Source organism: Homo sapiens, chromosome 19 (assembly GCF_000001405.40).
Source record: "Homo sapiens chromosome 19, GRCh38.p14 Primary Assembly".
NCBI classification, from domain to species: Eukaryota; Metazoa; Chordata; class Mammalia; order Primates; family Hominidae; genus Homo; species Homo sapiens.
Genome location: NC_000019.10, coordinates 3,034,828 through 3,051,102, shown reverse-complemented (window position 1 = coordinate 3,051,102; position 16,275 = coordinate 3,034,828). Strand labels below are relative to the sequence as shown.

At 55.2% G+C, this 16,275-nt stretch overlaps 1 protein-coding gene across 1 annotated transcript in view, besides 4 other annotated features; it reads left to right on the top strand.

Annotated features, from left to right (window-relative positions):
- TLE2 (TLE family member 2, transcriptional corepressor) overlaps positions 3,468-16,275 on the top strand; it is a 49,992-nt gene continuing 37,184 nt past the window's right edge. Inside the window, exons 1-2 of the mRNA NM_001144761.2 lie at positions 3,468-3,540; positions 5,304-5,377. Coding sequence (NP_001138233.1) covers positions 5,315-5,377 — 63 coding nt within the window. The 5' untranslated portion in view covers positions 3,468-3,540; positions 5,304-5,314. The remainder of the gene's footprint in view (positions 3,541-5,303; positions 5,378-16,275) is intronic.
- Positions 9,298-9,421: a silencer, noted in NCBI's record as "fragment chr19:3041680-3041803 (GRCh37/hg19 assembly coordinates)". NCBI's record gives its function as "represses an EF-1alpha promoter that drives an FKBP-Casp9 reporter gene in an ReSE screen in HepG2 liver carcinoma cells {active_cell/tissue: HepG2}" and the evidence as "EXISTENCE:reporter gene assay evidence [ECO:0000049][PMID:32094911]".
- Positions 14,603-14,662: a silencer, noted in NCBI's record as "silent region_9821". NCBI's record gives its function as "represses an Ori minimal core promoter by ATAC-STARR-seq in GM12878 lymphoblastoid cells {active_cell/tissue: GM12878}" and the evidence as "EXISTENCE:reporter gene assay evidence [ECO:0000049][PMID:35858748]".
- Positions 15,323-15,492: a silencer, noted in NCBI's record as "silent region_9820". NCBI's record gives its function as "represses an Ori minimal core promoter by ATAC-STARR-seq in GM12878 lymphoblastoid cells {active_cell/tissue: GM12878}" and the evidence as "EXISTENCE:reporter gene assay evidence [ECO:0000049][PMID:35858748]".
- Positions 15,633-15,832: an enhancer, noted in NCBI's record as "active region_13724". NCBI's record gives its function as "activates an Ori minimal core promoter by ATAC-STARR-seq in GM12878 lymphoblastoid cells {active_cell/tissue: GM12878}" and the evidence as "EXISTENCE:reporter gene assay evidence [ECO:0000049][PMID:35858748]".

Sequence of the window (16,275 nt, the reverse complement as noted above, 5' to 3'; positions counted from 1 at the left end):
ATTTACCCTTGTTGAAACCTGAACACGCCTAGGCACACCCCTTGGCAAGGGTAAATTCTTCTTATTTCCTTTTCTTTTTTGAGATGGAGTCTTGCTCTGTCGCCCAGGCTGGAGTGCAGTGGCACAATCTCGGCTCGGCTCACTGCAAGCTCTGCCTCCCGGGTTCACGCCATTCTCCTGCCTCAGCCTCCCAAGTAGCTGGGATTACAGGCGCCCGCCACCACGCCCAGCTAATTTTTTTTTGTATTTTTAGTAGAGACGGGGTTTCACCATGTTAGCCAGGATGGTCTCGATCTCCTGACGTCGTGATCCACCCGCCTTGGCCTCCCAAAGTGCTGGGATTACAGGCGTGAGCCACCGCGCCCGGCCAGCAAGGGTAAACTCTTACCTCTACTTCAGAAGGCCACTTGGCACCACATAATCCAGCAATTCCCCTCTTGGATCCATCTCCCAACGGAAATGTCATATGAGTCCATCAAAAAGACCCGAACAATTGGCCAGGCGCGGTGGCTCACGCCTGTAATCCCAGCACTTTGGGAGGCCGAGGTGAGTGGATCACCTCAGGTCAGGGGTTCAAGACCAGCCTGGCCAACATAGTGAAACCCCATCTCTACTAAAAATACAAAAATTAGTCGGGTGTGGTGGCAGCCGTGCAGTCCCAGCTACTCAGGAGGCTGAGGCAGGAGAATCGCTTGAACCCGGGAGGCGGAGGTTGCAGTGAGCTGAGATTGCGCCACTGCATTCCAGCCTAGGTGACAGAGTGAAACTCCATCTCAAACAAAACAAAACAAAACAAAACAAAAAAACAGACCTGAACAAGAGTGTTTAGAGCTGCTGTAATTTGTCATAATTGCCCCCAATCAAATAGATGGATTGTGACATGGTCACACAGCAGAATACTACACAGTCATGAAAAAAGATAGGCTGCTCCTGGTGGCTCACACCTGTAATCTCAGCACTTTGGGAAGCCAAGGTGAGAGGATCGCTTGAGGCTGGGAGTTCAAGACCAGCCTAAGCAACATAGTGAGACCCTATCTCTACAAAAATATAAGAATTATGGCCAGGCGCGGTGGCTTATGCCTGTAATCCCAGCACTTTGGGAGGCCAAGGCGGGTGGATCACAAGGTCAGGAGATCGAGACCATCCTGGCTAACACGGTGAAACCCCGTCTCTACTAAAAATACAAAAAATTAGCCGGGCGTGGTGGCAGGCGCCTGTGGTCCCAGCTACTCGGGAGGCTGAGGCAGGAGAATGGCGTGAACCCGGGAGGAGGAGCTTGCAGTGAGCTGAGATCGCACCACTGCACTCCAGCCTGGGCAACAGAGCAAGACTCCGTCTCAAAAAAAAAAAAAAAGAATCAGCCGGGCATAGTGTTGTGCACCTGTGGTCCCAGCTACTTGGGAGGCTGAGTGAGGAGGATTGCTGGAGCCCTAGAGGTCAAGGCTGTAGTGAACTATGATCATGCCACTGTACTCCAGCGTGGCTGACAGAGTGAGATTCTGTCTCAAAAAAAAAAAAAAAAAAAAAAAGATTATCTTTGGCTCTCACTGCCCTTGGAATTAATTCGAAATTCTTCACCTCGGCCCAGGAGACCCTACCCATCCCTCCTTTCACTCCTACTCAACAGGCTGCAGCCAAGGTGAAACATCTTGCTGTCCCTTGCCTTGAGGCCTTTTCACATGCTGTTCCCTCTGCCTGGAACAGGGTTCTCTTTATTTCCCCTCCCAGGCATTCTAATTCTCTGAGACTCCCTAGAAGTCACTTTTCTGAAGGCCTCCTCTGACTCTCACCCACCAAAAGCAGGGTGGGTTTCGCAACATCCCTACCCCAGTTCCCACACAAAGACCCTGAGTCCAGCCAGACACGCTGGCACACACCTGTAACCCCAGCACTTTGGGAGGCTGAGATTGGAGAATCACTTGAACCCAGGAGTTCAAGACCAGCCTGGGCAACATAGGAAGACATCATCTCTACAAAAAATAAAAATAAGGCGGAGTGCAGTGGCTCATGCCTGTAATCCGAGCACTTTGGGAGGCCAAGGTGGGAGGATCACTTGAGGCCAGGAGTTCAAGACCAGCCTGGCTGAGATGGCACAACCCTATCTCTACTAAAAATCCAAAAAATAGTCAGGCGTGGTGTTGTGTGCCTGTAGTCCCAGCTACTCTGGAGGCTGAGGCGGGAGGATTGCTTGAGCCCCGGAGTTTGAGGCTGCAAGGAGCCATGATCGCGCCACTGAACTCCAGCCTGGCTACAGAACGAGACACTGTCTTTATTAAAAAACAAAAGCAGGCCGGGCGCGGTGGTTCAAGCCTGTAATCCTAGCATTTTGGGAGGCTGAGGCGGACGGATCACCTGAGGTCGGGAGTTCGAGACCAGCCTGACCAACATGGAGAAATCATGTCTCTATTAAAAATACAAAATTAGCCAGGCATGGTGGCGTGCGCCTGTAATCCCAGCTACTTGGGACGCTGAGGCAGGAGAATCCCTTGAACCCGGGAGGTGGGGGTTGAAGTGAGCCGAGATCATGCCCTTGAACTCCAGCCTGGGCAACAAGAGCAAAACTCTGTCTCAAAAAAAAAAAAAAAAAAAAAAAAACTGAGTGCAAAAGGCATCAGCAGCTGTCACAGAAGTGGCACAGGTGTCCTAGGATGTTCCTCGGCATGGAGTGTCCAGCCTGGATTTAAATCCTGGCTCTTCCTCTCACAGCTGGTTGATTCAGGCAAGTGGCTTCACCACGCTGGGGCTTAGTTTCTCTATCTGTAAAATGGGTATAATCACAGAACCGATCCTTGTTAGGAAGACCCCATTTTAATCCAAGGAAAGTGCTCACAGCAGAGGCTGGTGCATTCATTCATTCATTTTTTAATTTTTTTTTGAGACAGACTCTCGCTCTGTCGCCCAGATCATGCAGTGGCATGATCTCGACTCACTTCAACCCCCACCTCCCGGGTTCAAGTGATTCTCCTGCCTCAGCCCCCGAGGTAGCTGGGACTACAAGCGCCCGCCACCACACCTGGCTAATTTTTTGTATTTTTAGTAGAGATGGGGTTTCGCCATATTGGCCAGGCTGATCTCGAACTCCTGACCTCAGATGATCCGCCCGCCTCGGCCTCCCAAAGTGCGAGGATTACAGGCGAGAGACACCGCAGCCCGGCCCATTCATTCGTCTGTGGAGACTCTACCCTGAGTCCCAGAGGCCCAGCAGGGAACAAGACAGAAAGCCCCGCCCTCCTGGCTGGGGTGAACAGATAAACAAGTAAAATATACGGCGTGTCAGCGGGTGTGTCGATAGAGAAAGACTAGGCGGAGGAGAACGGGGAACGGGGAGTGTGGGTTGCGTTTTTGTGTGTGAAATCTACACATAGAAAGAACTGCAGGAATGCCAACATATTTACTTGGGGCTCCTCATCTCCGACCCTTAGGGGTGATTCGGGGCAAGTGAAGTCACGCTCTGATCTCAATTTCTGGAAAATTGTACTGAGAATTAGAACTTCTGCAAGGGCTCAAGAGTGTCAGCTAGTAATAATAATAATAACAATAGTAAGTATTACTGATATTGATGTTGCTGGCAGCAGAAGGATGCCTGGGGGGGGGTCACAAGCCCGACACCCCCACAAGGGGTCTTCTCGGAAGAAGGGGTCCTGCCTACTCAGCCACGGCCTGGCCTGCGATCCGGGGGTCTCCCAGGCCCCCGCAGGGTTTGGGGAGGGTCCCGGGGCCCGCTGGGGGGCGGGTGGCAGGAGGCGTCCTGGGGGGGCGTGCTCGGGTCCGGGAAGCCGGGGCGGGCGGGCGGAGGCGCGGGCTCCGAGCCCCCTCCCCGCCGCGGCCGCCCCGCGCTTAACGACTGCGCCGCGGGCGACCTCGGCTAATTGATCGGCTAATGGGCCCCGCGCCGCGGCCGCGCCTAATGAGGCGGAGGACGGGGGAGGGTAGGGGGAGGGGAGGGGAGAGAACAGCGGGGAGGCGGGGGTAGGGAGAGGAGGGGGAGAGGGGAAGGAGGAGGGGAGGAGAGAGAGGAGGGAAGTGGAGGGAGGGGGAGGGAGGGGAGGGAGAGGGAGGGGCGTGGGGAGAAAACTGAGGGGAGGGAGGAGGGAGAGAAAATAGCAGGAAGGGAGGGAAGAATAGGAAGGTGGGGGAGAAGGAGGGAGGGAAGGGAGGAGGAGGGGGAGGCAGAGGAGGGGGAGGAGGAGAGGGAGGAGGGGGAGGCACAGCGATGCTCCCAGCTCCTTGGATGGGACCAGAGGGGAGCAGAGAGGACTGGGGTGGGCCCATATTCCTTTCTGGTTACCTCTCCCGCTCTAACACCCTGTTTCCTCTGGAAGCCCCTTCTCCAAGGCTCTCCCCTTCTCCGACCCCACCATTCTCCCAGCCCCCCTCCCCCATTCTGAGGGACGTTCCAGCAGGTGAGGAGATCCCCTGCCCGCTGGGCCTCGATTGCCCCCATCCACACAATGGTTCTCAGTGGAGGGAGGAGAATCCCACAGGCCCCGGTGGCAGGACTCTAGCGGAGGTGGGGTGGGGGGTGGGGGGGTGTCTGTCAGGGGACTGGGGACTCCGGGGTCTGAAATCCTCCATTTCCCCCCATCTGCACCCCAAAGGGCCAGGCTCTGGCCTCCAGCAGAGGGTGGGAGCACTTACAGAATCCCCCTTCCCCATCCCCAGCCCGGTTGGGGGCGGGGAGGGGTGGAGGAAAAGGAGCGGGGAATAGGAGCTAAAGCTAGGACGCATTAGACATTCACAGTCAGGCCGGCCAGGTGCCTGCGCTGGCTGAATTGTCTGCAGCTGAGCCTTCTCCGTCCCTCTGTGTGCCCTTCAGGCAGTCTTGGGGGAGAAAATAAAAGCTGCACCTGCAGTGCTGGTGGAATTAGGGAGCTAGAAATGATCCCGCTCTCTTCCCATGGTGCAGATGGGAAAACTGAGGCCCACGGACATCAGAACATTGCTCAAGGGCAGGAATAAGTCAGGGCTGTAGCTGAGTCTCCTGCTGGCTGCTCAGGGACCTCTTTGCCCCCCTAGGGGCAACCAGACTAATTAGGAAGGCAAAGATATCATAAAGATAACAACAGTAATACCGGCTGTGTTGTCCTGAACATCTATCACGCCTCCAGCAGTGCTTGAGTGGTACAGTGAAAATTGGATCTCTCAAAGGATTCTCTCTGAAGGAGGGTCTGTTTTACAGATAAGGAAACTGAGGCTCTAAGTGGTCACAGAGCCAGGGAATCTGGATTCAAATGCAGGAAATTCAGGATCTTAACCATTTGATTGGTTGTTTTTTGAGACAGAGTTTCACTCTTGTTGCCCAGGCTGAAGTGCAATGGTGCAATCACGGCTCACTGCAACCTCCGCCTCCCAAGATTCTCCTGCTTCAGGATTACAGGCGAGTAGCTGGGATTACAGGCGCCCGCCACCACACCTGGTTAATTTTGTATTTTTAGTAGAGACGGGGTGGGGTGGGGGGTGGTTTCACCATGTTGGCCAGGCTGGTCTCGAACTCCTGACCTCAAGTGATCCGCCCGCCTTGGCCTCCCAAAGTGTTGGGATTACAGGTGTAAGCCACTGCACCCAGCCAGGATCTTAACCATTTGGTTTAAGAGAAAGAAGTTTCTGGACTCACTGACTGGTGGGGGAGGAGGAAGGACTTGAAAGACCGATTCCAGGCAGAGTTGGGGTGCAGCAGGATTGGCTGAGGCAGGGCTGACCTTGGAGGCTCACGACCCCTGCCCCGTAGTCACTGCCTCAGTCTGACCCTTCCTGGCACCTTCCCTGTGGCTGAAGGTGTTCACGCATGGTCCCAGGTAGGGCCTTTCCCTCTGCCTGGAACACGCTGTTCCTACTTCAGTCATCCCCATCACAATCACTTTTTCCTGCATTCTTTATTTTTATTATTTTGAGACAAGGTCTCACCTGGGCAACCAGGCTGAAGTTCAGTGGCGCTATCATAGCTCACTGCAGCCTCAACCTCCCGGGCTCAGGTGATCCTCCCATGTCGGCCTCCTAAGTAGCCAAGACTACAGGCACACACCACCACATCCAGCTAATTTTTTTTTTGTAGGGACAAGGTCTTGCCATGTTGGCCAGGCTGGTCTGAAACTCCTGACCTCAAGTGATCCACCCACCTCGGCCTCCCAAAGTGCTGGGATGACAGTCATGAGCCACCGCGCCCGGCTTTCCCTGCATTCTTTATCTTCACAGCATTTTTTGCTCCGCACAATTTATCCCAACAAATATTCTCTTGTCCACTGCTTTTCTCCACTCTAATATGACTTTGGCGAAGAGAGTTTGTCTGATTTGGGTTTCTACTATAGATCCTGGGGCCTAGAATCATGCCTGGCACACAGTAGGTGTGTAGCGATTAGGGAAGAAAGTGAGAAAATGGCAGTGAAGGCCAGGCACAGTGGCTCACGCCTGTAATCCCAGCGCTTCGGGAGGCCGAGGCAGGAGGGTCACGTCAGGCCAGGAGTTTGAGACCAGCCTGGGCAACATGGTGAAACCCCATCTCTACTAAAAAGACAAAAATTAGCCGGGCGTGGTGGCGCACACCTGTAATCCCAGCAACTCAGGAAGCTGAGGAAGGAGAATCACTTGAACCCGGGAGGTGGAGGGTGCAGTGAGCAGAAATCGTGCCACTGCACTCCAGCCTGGGCGACAGAGCGGGAATCCTTCTCTAAAAAGCAAAGGGCAGAGAAGCCAGTGAGATGGGTGGATGTGGGCCAGCCCTGTAGAATCCTGCCTGCCCTACAGGCCAGGAGCTGGGGCATAGGGAGCCATGGATGGTGTTCGAGCAGCAAAGGGGCGGCACACCCAGATGTGCGATTATCGAGATCCTCCATGGGACACCAGGGGGGCAGGCTGGAGGGGAAACTGAGGCAGAAAGTCACGAGGAGGCCCCTGTGCCACTTAGGTGTTTTGGTTTGTTTTTGTTTTTTTTTTTGGTGAGACGGAGTCTCTGTCGCCCAGGCTGGAGGGCAGTGGCAAGGTCTCGGCCCACTGCAACCTCTGTCTCCTGGGTTCAAGCCATTCTCCTGCCCCAGCCTCCCAAGCAGCTGCGATTACAGGGATGCACCACCACGCCTGGCTACCTTTTGTATTTTTGTTGTTGTTGTTTTGTTTTTTGTTTTTGAGACAGAGTCTTGCTCTGTCGCCGAGGCTGGAGTGCAGTGGTGCGATCTTGGCTCACTGCAACCTCTGCCCCCTGGGTTCAAGCAATTCTCCTGCCTCAGCCTCCCGAGTAACTGGGATTACAGGCCCCCGCCACCATGCCTGGCTAATTTTTTTGTTTTGTTTTGTTTTTTTGAGATGGAGTCTCGCTCTGTCACCCAGGCTGGAGTGCAGTGGCACGATCTTGGCTCACTGCAAGCTCCACCTCCCGGGTTCACGCCATTCTCCTGCCTCAGCCTCCCCAGTAGCTGGGACTACAGGCGCCCGCCACCATGCCTGGCTAATTTTTTTTTTTTTTTTTGTATTTTTAGTAGAGACGGGGTTTCACCATGTTGGCCAGGTTGATCTCAAACTCCTGACCTCAAATGATCCGCTCGTCTTGGCCTCCCAAACTGCCGGGATTACAGGTGCGACCCATGATGCAGGTCCCAGGTAGATGTTTTCTGATATTAAAAGCTGCAGAGGCCAGGCATGGCGCGGTGGCTCACGCCTGTAATCCCAGCACTTTGGGAGGCTGAAGCGGGCGGATCACGAGGTTAGGCGTTCGAGACCATCTCAAAAAAAAAAAAAAAAAAAAAAAGCTGCAGAAGGGGCCGGGTGCCATGGCTCACGCCTATAATCCCAGCACTTTGGCAGGCCGAGGCTGGAAGATTGCTTGAGGCCAGGCCGGGCATGGTAGTGTACGATTGTGGTCTCAGCTACTTGGGAGGCTGAGGCGGGAGGATTGCTTGAGCCTCGCAGGGAGCCGTGATCTTGCCACCACACTCTAGCCTGGGCGACACGGTGAGACCTTGTCTCAAAGCAATAACAAAAAACAAAAAGCTGTGCCGGGCAAGATGGCTCATGGCTGTAATCCCAGCACTTTGGGAGGCTGAGGAGGGAGGATCATTTGAGGCCAGGAGCTTGAGAGCAGCCTGGGCCACACAGTGAGACCCCTGTCTCTAAAAAATAAAAAATAAATTAATTAAAAACTAGAGAAGGGAGCTGAAACCGCCCCTGCCTGGTTTCCCCTCTGAGGGCCTAGGATTCCCCTCTAACTTTCTCTCCTGGGTAATGTCTGTCTTTGTCCCCCTCCTTCTCCAAGTCCCCACTGCCGTTAAAAAAAATTTCCTTTCATTTAAATTGTTAAGTCGAATATGAAACCGACTTCCGAGCTAGTACTGGAGAATGGACTTAACTGTTTGGTGCTTAATGAGAACAGCTTCTACATAGGATCTCTGGGGACTTGGGGAGAAGGGACAAACCCCTAATATGAAGCAAATAGAACTCAGGTTTGAAACAGATTATCCAACAATCTCCCTCGCCTCGCCCCCTCTGTCTCGGGGGTCTCTGATGGTCTCGTCTCCCTCTTTCTGCCATCTCTGGGCTTCTCCCTCTGTCCTTCAAAGTCTCCAGCTTGGGTCCCCTAACCTTCCCTGGATCTCTTCATTGGCGCCTCCCTCCCTACCATCCCCGTCCCCGCTCCCGCCCCCAGCCGCTGACCTCCCCCTGCAAACCTCTCCCACCCACCCAGGCCCACCGTCCTCCCAGGCCCCCTTACCCCTCCCGCAGTTGCTGGGAGCCTGCCAGGCCTGAAAGCCCGTCCCTCCTCCGCCCCCTCCCTCTCCCGCCACCTCCGCCCCTCTGCCCCTCCCCCGCACCTCACCGCCCCCCCTTCCTCCCTGCCCCTCCACAGGGTCCCCTCCACCCGGGGGCCTCCTCCTCTCCCCTCCTCTCCCCTCCCCTCCCCTTTGCCGCCTCCCCCTTTGTCCCTCCGTTTCCTCCTCCATTCTCTCCTCCTCCCCCTCCTCTTCCCTCCTACACCCCCTTCTCGGGTCCCGGGGAGGGGCGGTCCCCACGCTCCCTGCGCTCCCCCTACTCCCCGCAATCCCCTCACTCCCCTGCTGGGCCTGCCCGGGCCTGTCGGGGAACACGCTGGGCCGGGCCCGCGTGGCTAATGGTGGGTTCCCCCGCAGCACCGCGGGAGGAGGGGGCGGGCGACCCTGCCCTAGGCCTGCCCAACCCTGGGACTCGGGGCCCCCCGCAAAGGCAGCCACAGAGCTCCCAGCTGGAGCGCGTGGCTGTGTGACCGTGGGCAGGTCCCTAGGCCTCTCTGGGCCTGGCTGCCCCCAAAGCCTCAATTCCCAGCAACTGGATTGGTGGGGAAGAAAAACCAACCTGGGGCAGCAGCGGGCCTTTCATTCCTGTATTTATTGGGCGCCTACTGTGTGCCAGGCTTGGGTATCACGGACCCAGACGGAGCGCCTCTCGACCCTCGTGGAGCTCACAGAGTCATGGGGAAGGTTTGGAAAATAGGTCAAGACCATTGCAGAGAACACCAAGTGGTAGGAAGAAAAATCTAGCAAGGGTTGGTGACAGAGAGAGACGGGGCTGCTTGGCCCAGGAGAGGAGGGGAGGCCTCTCTGAGGAGGTGACATTTGAGCCGAGGAGGGTTTGACAGCAAGAGCCCATGTTGGGAGGTGGCTCTCAGGGAGGGGCGGGTGCTCCAGGCAGAGGGAATCCCGGTGGCGAAGCCTGGAGGCGGCACTGTACCCATCACAGGGCAAGCTCTCAGCCCATAATTCGGAGGGCCATGGTGTGTATATCAACCAGGTAGCCCAGTGATAATAGCAATGGCAGGCTGGGCGCGGGGGCTCACTCCTGTAATCCCAGCACTTTGGGAGGCTGAGGCAGGTGGATAATTTGAGGTCAAGAGTTCAAGACCAGCCTGGCCAACATGGTGAAACCCCATCTCTACTAAAAATACAAAAATTAGCCAGGCGTGGTGGCACGCACCTGTAATCCCAGCTACTCGGGAGGCTGAGGCAGGAGGATGGCTTGAGCCTGGGAGGTGGAGGTTGCAGTAAGCCGAGATCTCGCCACTGTACTCCAGTCTGGGCGACAGAATAAGACTCTGTCTCAAAAAAAAAAAAAAAAAAAAAAAAAAAAAAATATATATATATATATATATATAAATGGCAGCAGAGGCTGTCATCAAGGGCCACTCTGGGGTTGGTGACAGTACCATGCCCCTTTTCCAGATGAGCAAACGGAGGTCCACAGGGGTTAAAAGGTCTCACTGCAAACCAGAAACTGGATGAGGAAGATTCAGATTGAGGTCGATAATATAGCAAGACCCCATCTCTACAAAATCTAAAAAAATGAGCCAGGCGTGGTGGTGCACGATTGTGGTCTCAGCTACTTGGGAGGTTGAGGTGGGAGGATTTTGCTCGAGGCTTGCAGGGAGCCGTGATCATGTCACTGCACTCCAGCCTGGGCGACGGAGTGAGACCTTGTCTTAAAACAATAACAAAAAACAAAATGCTGTGCCGGGTGAGATGGCTCACGCCTGTAATCCCAGCACTTCAGGTGGCCGAGGCAGGAGGATCCCTTGAGGCCAGGAGTTCGAAACCAGCCTGGGTAACATGGTGAAACCCCATCTACTAAAAATACAAAAATGAGCCGGGCATGGTGGTGTGCACCTGTAGTCCCAGCTACTCGGGAGGCTGAGGCAGGAGAATCACTTGAACCCGGGAGGTGGAGGTTGCAGTGAACAGAAATCGAGCCACTGCACTCCAGCCTGGTCGACAGAGCGAGACTGTCTTAAAAAAAAAACAAACAAACGTTAAAAAGAAGATTCAGATTGGGCCATGCGGCCAGGGGTTTGTTCAACCCCCATCTGTGCTGTGCCTTCCAGGGGGACCAGGCTGGGCGAGTTTGGGGCCCAGCAATGAGCTCTCCAGGGAAGGAGGGAGGGTGGAGATAGAGACGGGAGTCCATGGCGATCCTAGGAGGGTGAACCCCCAACTGGGTACAGAGGGGTTACACGTGGTGTGGGTGATGGGGTTGCTGCAATGACCAGAAGGCCCTAGGGGCTTAAAAATGGGGTTTGTCTGTGGTGCCAGCCCCAGCTCTGCTTCCGCACCCCAAATTGTCCCCGCTGGGCCGCACACACTCCCACACAATAATAACGGTCGGGGCCTTTTCATCTATCGAGCTATTTGATCGTGTGATGACTCAATGAGACGTTTCTATAATTATCCCACTGTACAGGATCACAGTGACGCAGTGGCGGAGGTGGGGTTTGAACCCAGGCTTGCACATCAGTGACACTGGGTCTCACAGCCTCTGGAGGTAGTGTGATCTCTGCGATCTCAGCTGACCCCTACAGGTTGTGTTAGCGCTGGGCAGGTTAGCAGGGGACCTGGCATCGCGTCCGTCATGCTGGGTGACCTTGGTGAGGCTCTATCCCTCTATGGGCTTGTCCACTTACTCTCCCAATAAATACAGTGTAGCCGGTGGTGTGTTGGGGCCTGGGCAGACCGTACACACAGGAGGGAGCAGATAGTATGTGTTCCCAGAGCCACGAGGCCTCGGAAGACTGAGGGAAGCTGAGCAGGTAGGAGGAGGGGAGCTACTCTAGCCAGGCTGGCCTCTCTAGGATGTGATGTTTGATCTGAAAGGAAGAGAAAGGCTGGCCGTGGTTCAGGCAGAGGGAACAACCAATGCAGTGCAGAGGTCTTGAGGCTAGACTCTGGTTTGAGGAAGAGGGAGAAGGCCTGTGTGGCTGGAACAGAGGGGGAGAAGTGGGAGGAGGTGAGAGGAGGGAGGCGATGGAAGTCAGATCACATAGACAGAGGTAGGGAGTTTGGATTTTATGTTGAGGGCAATAGGGAGCTATGGAAGGTTCTTGAGCAAGGGAGGGATGGACTCTGATTCACTTTTTTTTTTTTTTTTTTTGGAGTGGGGAAAGGATAGAGTTTTGCTCTTCTTGGCCAGCCTGGAGTGCAATGGCACGGTCTCAGCTCACTGCAACCTCCGCCTCCCGGGTTCAAGCAATTCTGTCTCAGCCTCCCAAGCAGCTACAGGTGCCCGCCACCACACCCAGCTAATTTTTTTTTTTTAATTTTTATTTTTTTTTTGAGTCGTGGTTTTGCTCTTGTTGCCCAGGCTGGAGTGCAATGGTGCGATCTCAGCTCACTGCAACCTCCGCCTCCCGGGTTCAAGCGATTCTCCTGCCTCAGCCTCCCAAGTAGCTGGGATTACAGGCATGCGCCACCACCCTGGCTAATTTTGTATTTTTAGTAGAGACAGGGTTTCTCCATGTTGGTCAGGCTGGTCTTGAACTCCCGACCTCAGGTGATCCGCCCGCCTCAGCCTTCCAAAGTGCTGGGATTACAGGCATGAGCCACTGCGCCCGGCCTTAATTTTTGTATTTTTAGTAGAGACAGGGTTTCACCATGTTGGCCAGGCTGGTCTCGAACCTCTGGCCTCAGGTAGTCCCTCCATCTTGGCCTCCCAAAGTGCTGGGATTACAGGCGTGAGCCACCACGCCCAGCCCTGATTCACATTTCAATGGATCATCAAGGATGTGGGTGCAATGGAGAATGCATAGCATAGATGTGGAGCGTGAGGGGAGAGTGGGAGAGAAGGACCCTTTAGGACATAGTGGGGGCTGGACACAGTGTTTCACACCTGTAATCCCAGCACTCTGTGAAGCTGAGGGAAGAGGACTGCTTGAGCCCAGGAGTTGAAGACCAGTCTGGGCAACATAGTGAGACCCTGTCTCTACAAAAAAATTTTTTTTAAATTAGCTGAGTGTGGTGGTACACACCTGTGATTCCAGCTACTCCGGAGGCTGAGGCAGGAAGACGGCTTGAGCCCAGCGAGGTCAAGGCTGCAGTGAGCTATGACGGTGGCACTGCACTCCAGACTGGGTGACAGAGTGAGACCTTGTCTCAAATAATAATAAGGACAAAATAAATGTTGGGAGTACAAATAGCTACCCTTTATGGAGCATTTACTATGCATTATTATTATTGTTATTGTTATTATTATTTTTTTGAGACAGAGTCTCGCTCTGTCCCCCAGGCTGGAGTGCAGTGGTGTGATCTCAGCTCACTGCAACCTCCGCCTTCTGGGTTCCAAGGATTCTCCTGCCTCAGCCTCCTGAGTAGCTGGGATTACAGGCGTGTGCCACCTTGCTCGACTAATTTTTCTATTTTTAGTATAGATGGGGTTTCCCCACGTTGACCAGGCTGGTGTCGAACTCCTGACCTCAGGTGATCCACCCATCTTGGCCCAACTAAGTGCTGGGATCACAGGTGTGAGCCACTGCACCCGGCCTACTATGCATTATTGTAAGTACTTTATAGGCCTTATTTGAAGATTCTATTATTAATCTTGTGTTCCAGACAAGGAAACCCAAGCAGAGTAAACGTGCCTGGCACTGAGCCGTTGTCACTCTGGGACTTCTCCCCCAGCCGCCCAGTTCTTACTCAGGGAGAGGCTGGAGTTCCTGAGCCCCTCAGCCAATCCTAGTGCCTCCTACCACGGGCTCCCAGGCCCTGACTCCTGCTGGTCAGAACCCACTGTGACTTCAGGACCCATGCGAAAGTAGGCACAGGGGCCTTCTAACCCTAGGGGGTATCTACCTCCCCGACACTTCACAGCTGGGGGATGTTCCCAGATCCACACAGCAAAGCTAGGGGTCAGAGCCCAAGGCTCACTCTGTCACAGGAAAGGGCTTAAGGCTGCCCCATCTTTCTTCTGTCCACTTAGGGTTAGGGTAATCTAAAGGCACTGCTCAAATGAGGCAACTCCTATGCATTCTGCAAAACCCTAGCTTAAATACCGAAACCCAACATCTTTTTGTTTTGTTTTGTTTTTGTTTTTGTTTTTGAGACAGAGTCTCACTCTGTTGTCCAGGCTAGAGTGCAGTGGCGCGAACTCGGCTCACTGCAACCTCTGCATCCCAGGTTCAAGCAATTCTCCTGCCTCAGTCTCCTGAGTAGCTGGGACTACAGGAGCGTGCCACCATGTCCGGCTAATTTTTGTATTTTTAGTAAAGACCGGGTTTCACTATGTTGGCCAGGCTGGTCTCGAACTCCTGGCCTCAGGTGATCCGCCTGCCTCGGCCTCCTGAAGTGCTGGGATTACGGGCGTGAGCCACCACGCCCTGCCCCAACATCTATTAAATACTACCACCCAACATCTAGAAAGCTATCCCAACTTCCCAATGGGGGCGCTAAATCCTGGCTGAGCCTGCCCCCACTCCCACCCCCAGCTCTGATCCTCCCTAACCCCAACCCCGACCACAGGGGTTCTGAGAGAGCTGGGCTGTCTCCCCCTCCTCCCAAACTTGGGAGCCCCTCCTTGAGTTTCCACCAAGGTCAGCCCTGGCTGCTCCCAGGCAGAACAGCACGGAGTATGGGTTTCATGAAAGTTTTGTCCAGCAATCTCACTGTGCATCTGGGTAAACTGAGGCTCAAAGAGAGGCCCTGGAGGTTCTAGGGAGATGGCTCCTCATGTTCCTGGGTGGAAGGAAATGTGTGTGTGATTTTTCCGGGGGGCACACCGCCAAGCGTGGCGGGGAGCTGAGGCTCAGAGGTCACCCGCGAGCCCGGGGCCAGCGGGAGGGGACAGGCCTGGCTGGTGGCCCGGCAGTTCGGCTGGAGGGGGCGGTAGGCAGAGGTTGGCGGTGTCGGAAGCCAAAGGCTTGGCCTCCCCGAGGGAGCCGCTTTCCCGGCCCGGGTCGGATCAATGGGCTGTAATTATACCGCGCCGGGCCGGGAGCCGGCAGGGAGGGAGCGGGAGCTGGCGGGAGGGAGGCGACGGGCGGGAGAGCGCGGGCCGGAGAGGTACCCACGTTACTTTGATTGACAGCCTGGGCGGGAGCCGCGCGGGAGCTTCTGGGAATCGTAGTCTTTTTCTGAAAACCCGTGCTCTCCTCCAGCTTCCACGCTCGGGGAAACTGAGGCACAAGGCCCAGCACCACCCCCCTCCACCCCTGACTACCTATAGGCCCATCCCCCCCACCTGGGGGTAAAACTGAGACCGTTCCTGGAGCCCCCAGGCTCGGGTAAGAGCTTCAGCTCTTCGCCGGGCGTCCAGCGTGACTTAACTACTCTTTGCTTCAGTTTACCTATCTGTGAAATAGGGAGAAAGATGCAACCTCTGCTCCGCCAGCTAGCTGGTAGCATATTGCACGAGGGTCCCTTGTTTTGAAGGGGAGATAGGCCAGGCTTGGGGGTGACTCGCTTTCCCCTGTTTCTGGATAATAATGGAGCCTTAGCCCCCCCTCCTCCAATCCGGTCGAGCTCGGGCGTCCACTAGGGTCTCAGATTCTCCTAGGGAGGGGGGCCACACTCGCCAAACCCCGCCGGGAGCGCCGAGCTGCCTTCCGATTGGCCCTACTGATCCCAGTGCCTCCTGCCATTGGTTGCTGGTCTCCTAATCCCCATTGGCCAGTTTCCTATGTGACGTCACTGACCCATGTGGGAGCGTCGCGAGCGGATTGGCTGGCGCCCCCAGCCAACCACCGCGGAGAAAGGAATTTCCACAGTAGCTGGGGCGGCCAGGCTGATTTAAGGTGGTCTGAGCAATCCGGGGTCCCAGCGCAGCTTCTCAGCTTTTTCCCTTTTTTTTTTTTCCGTAAACCCACATCCACAACGTAAAACCCTAGCCAGGAACCAGGGGCTGAGCCTCTCTGTAATGGGAAGGGGGAGATCGGCGGCTGAGCTCCTTTTCCCCTCTGGCAGCTTCTTCCCTGATGGTGCAGCTGGGGAAACTGAGGCGCAAAGAGGGGGTCCGTGAAGTCCCGCGTGGCAAATGAAGTCGCTGGGGACTCTACCCACGTTGGAACACGCCTGGCAGGTTGCTTCCCTGCTTCCTGCTCTGGCCGGATGTGGTATTTTGGGGAGTTATGGAGTCACAGGCGGCCAAGGGTTCCCCAGTATGCACACAGTTGCTGGCAGCAGAGTCTCCCCAAATTCCACCCGCTGCTCCCAAAGTTGGGGATGTTGCTGCCCAGAGCAAAAACTCCTCCTTCCTGGCGGATCACACACTAAGGGATGGGGTGTGTTCCTGTGTGCGTGTGTGGTCTTGTGGCTTCTCGGGCAATCCACAAATCTGTATTTACCCTCCCCGGTGCAGTGTGCCTGTTAGAGGGATCTGAAGACTGCTGGGTAAAGATCCCCTGCTCTAGGGAGCCTCAGCTCACTCACCGGGCAATGCCCCTGTTCCTCGCCCGGCTCTGCCTTCATCCTTAGCTCGCTCCTGTGCTGACACTGACCCTATGTGACCCTGGGAGGGTACGTGTCCCTGTACCTCTGTCCCCACCAGATGCTCTGGGAGCCC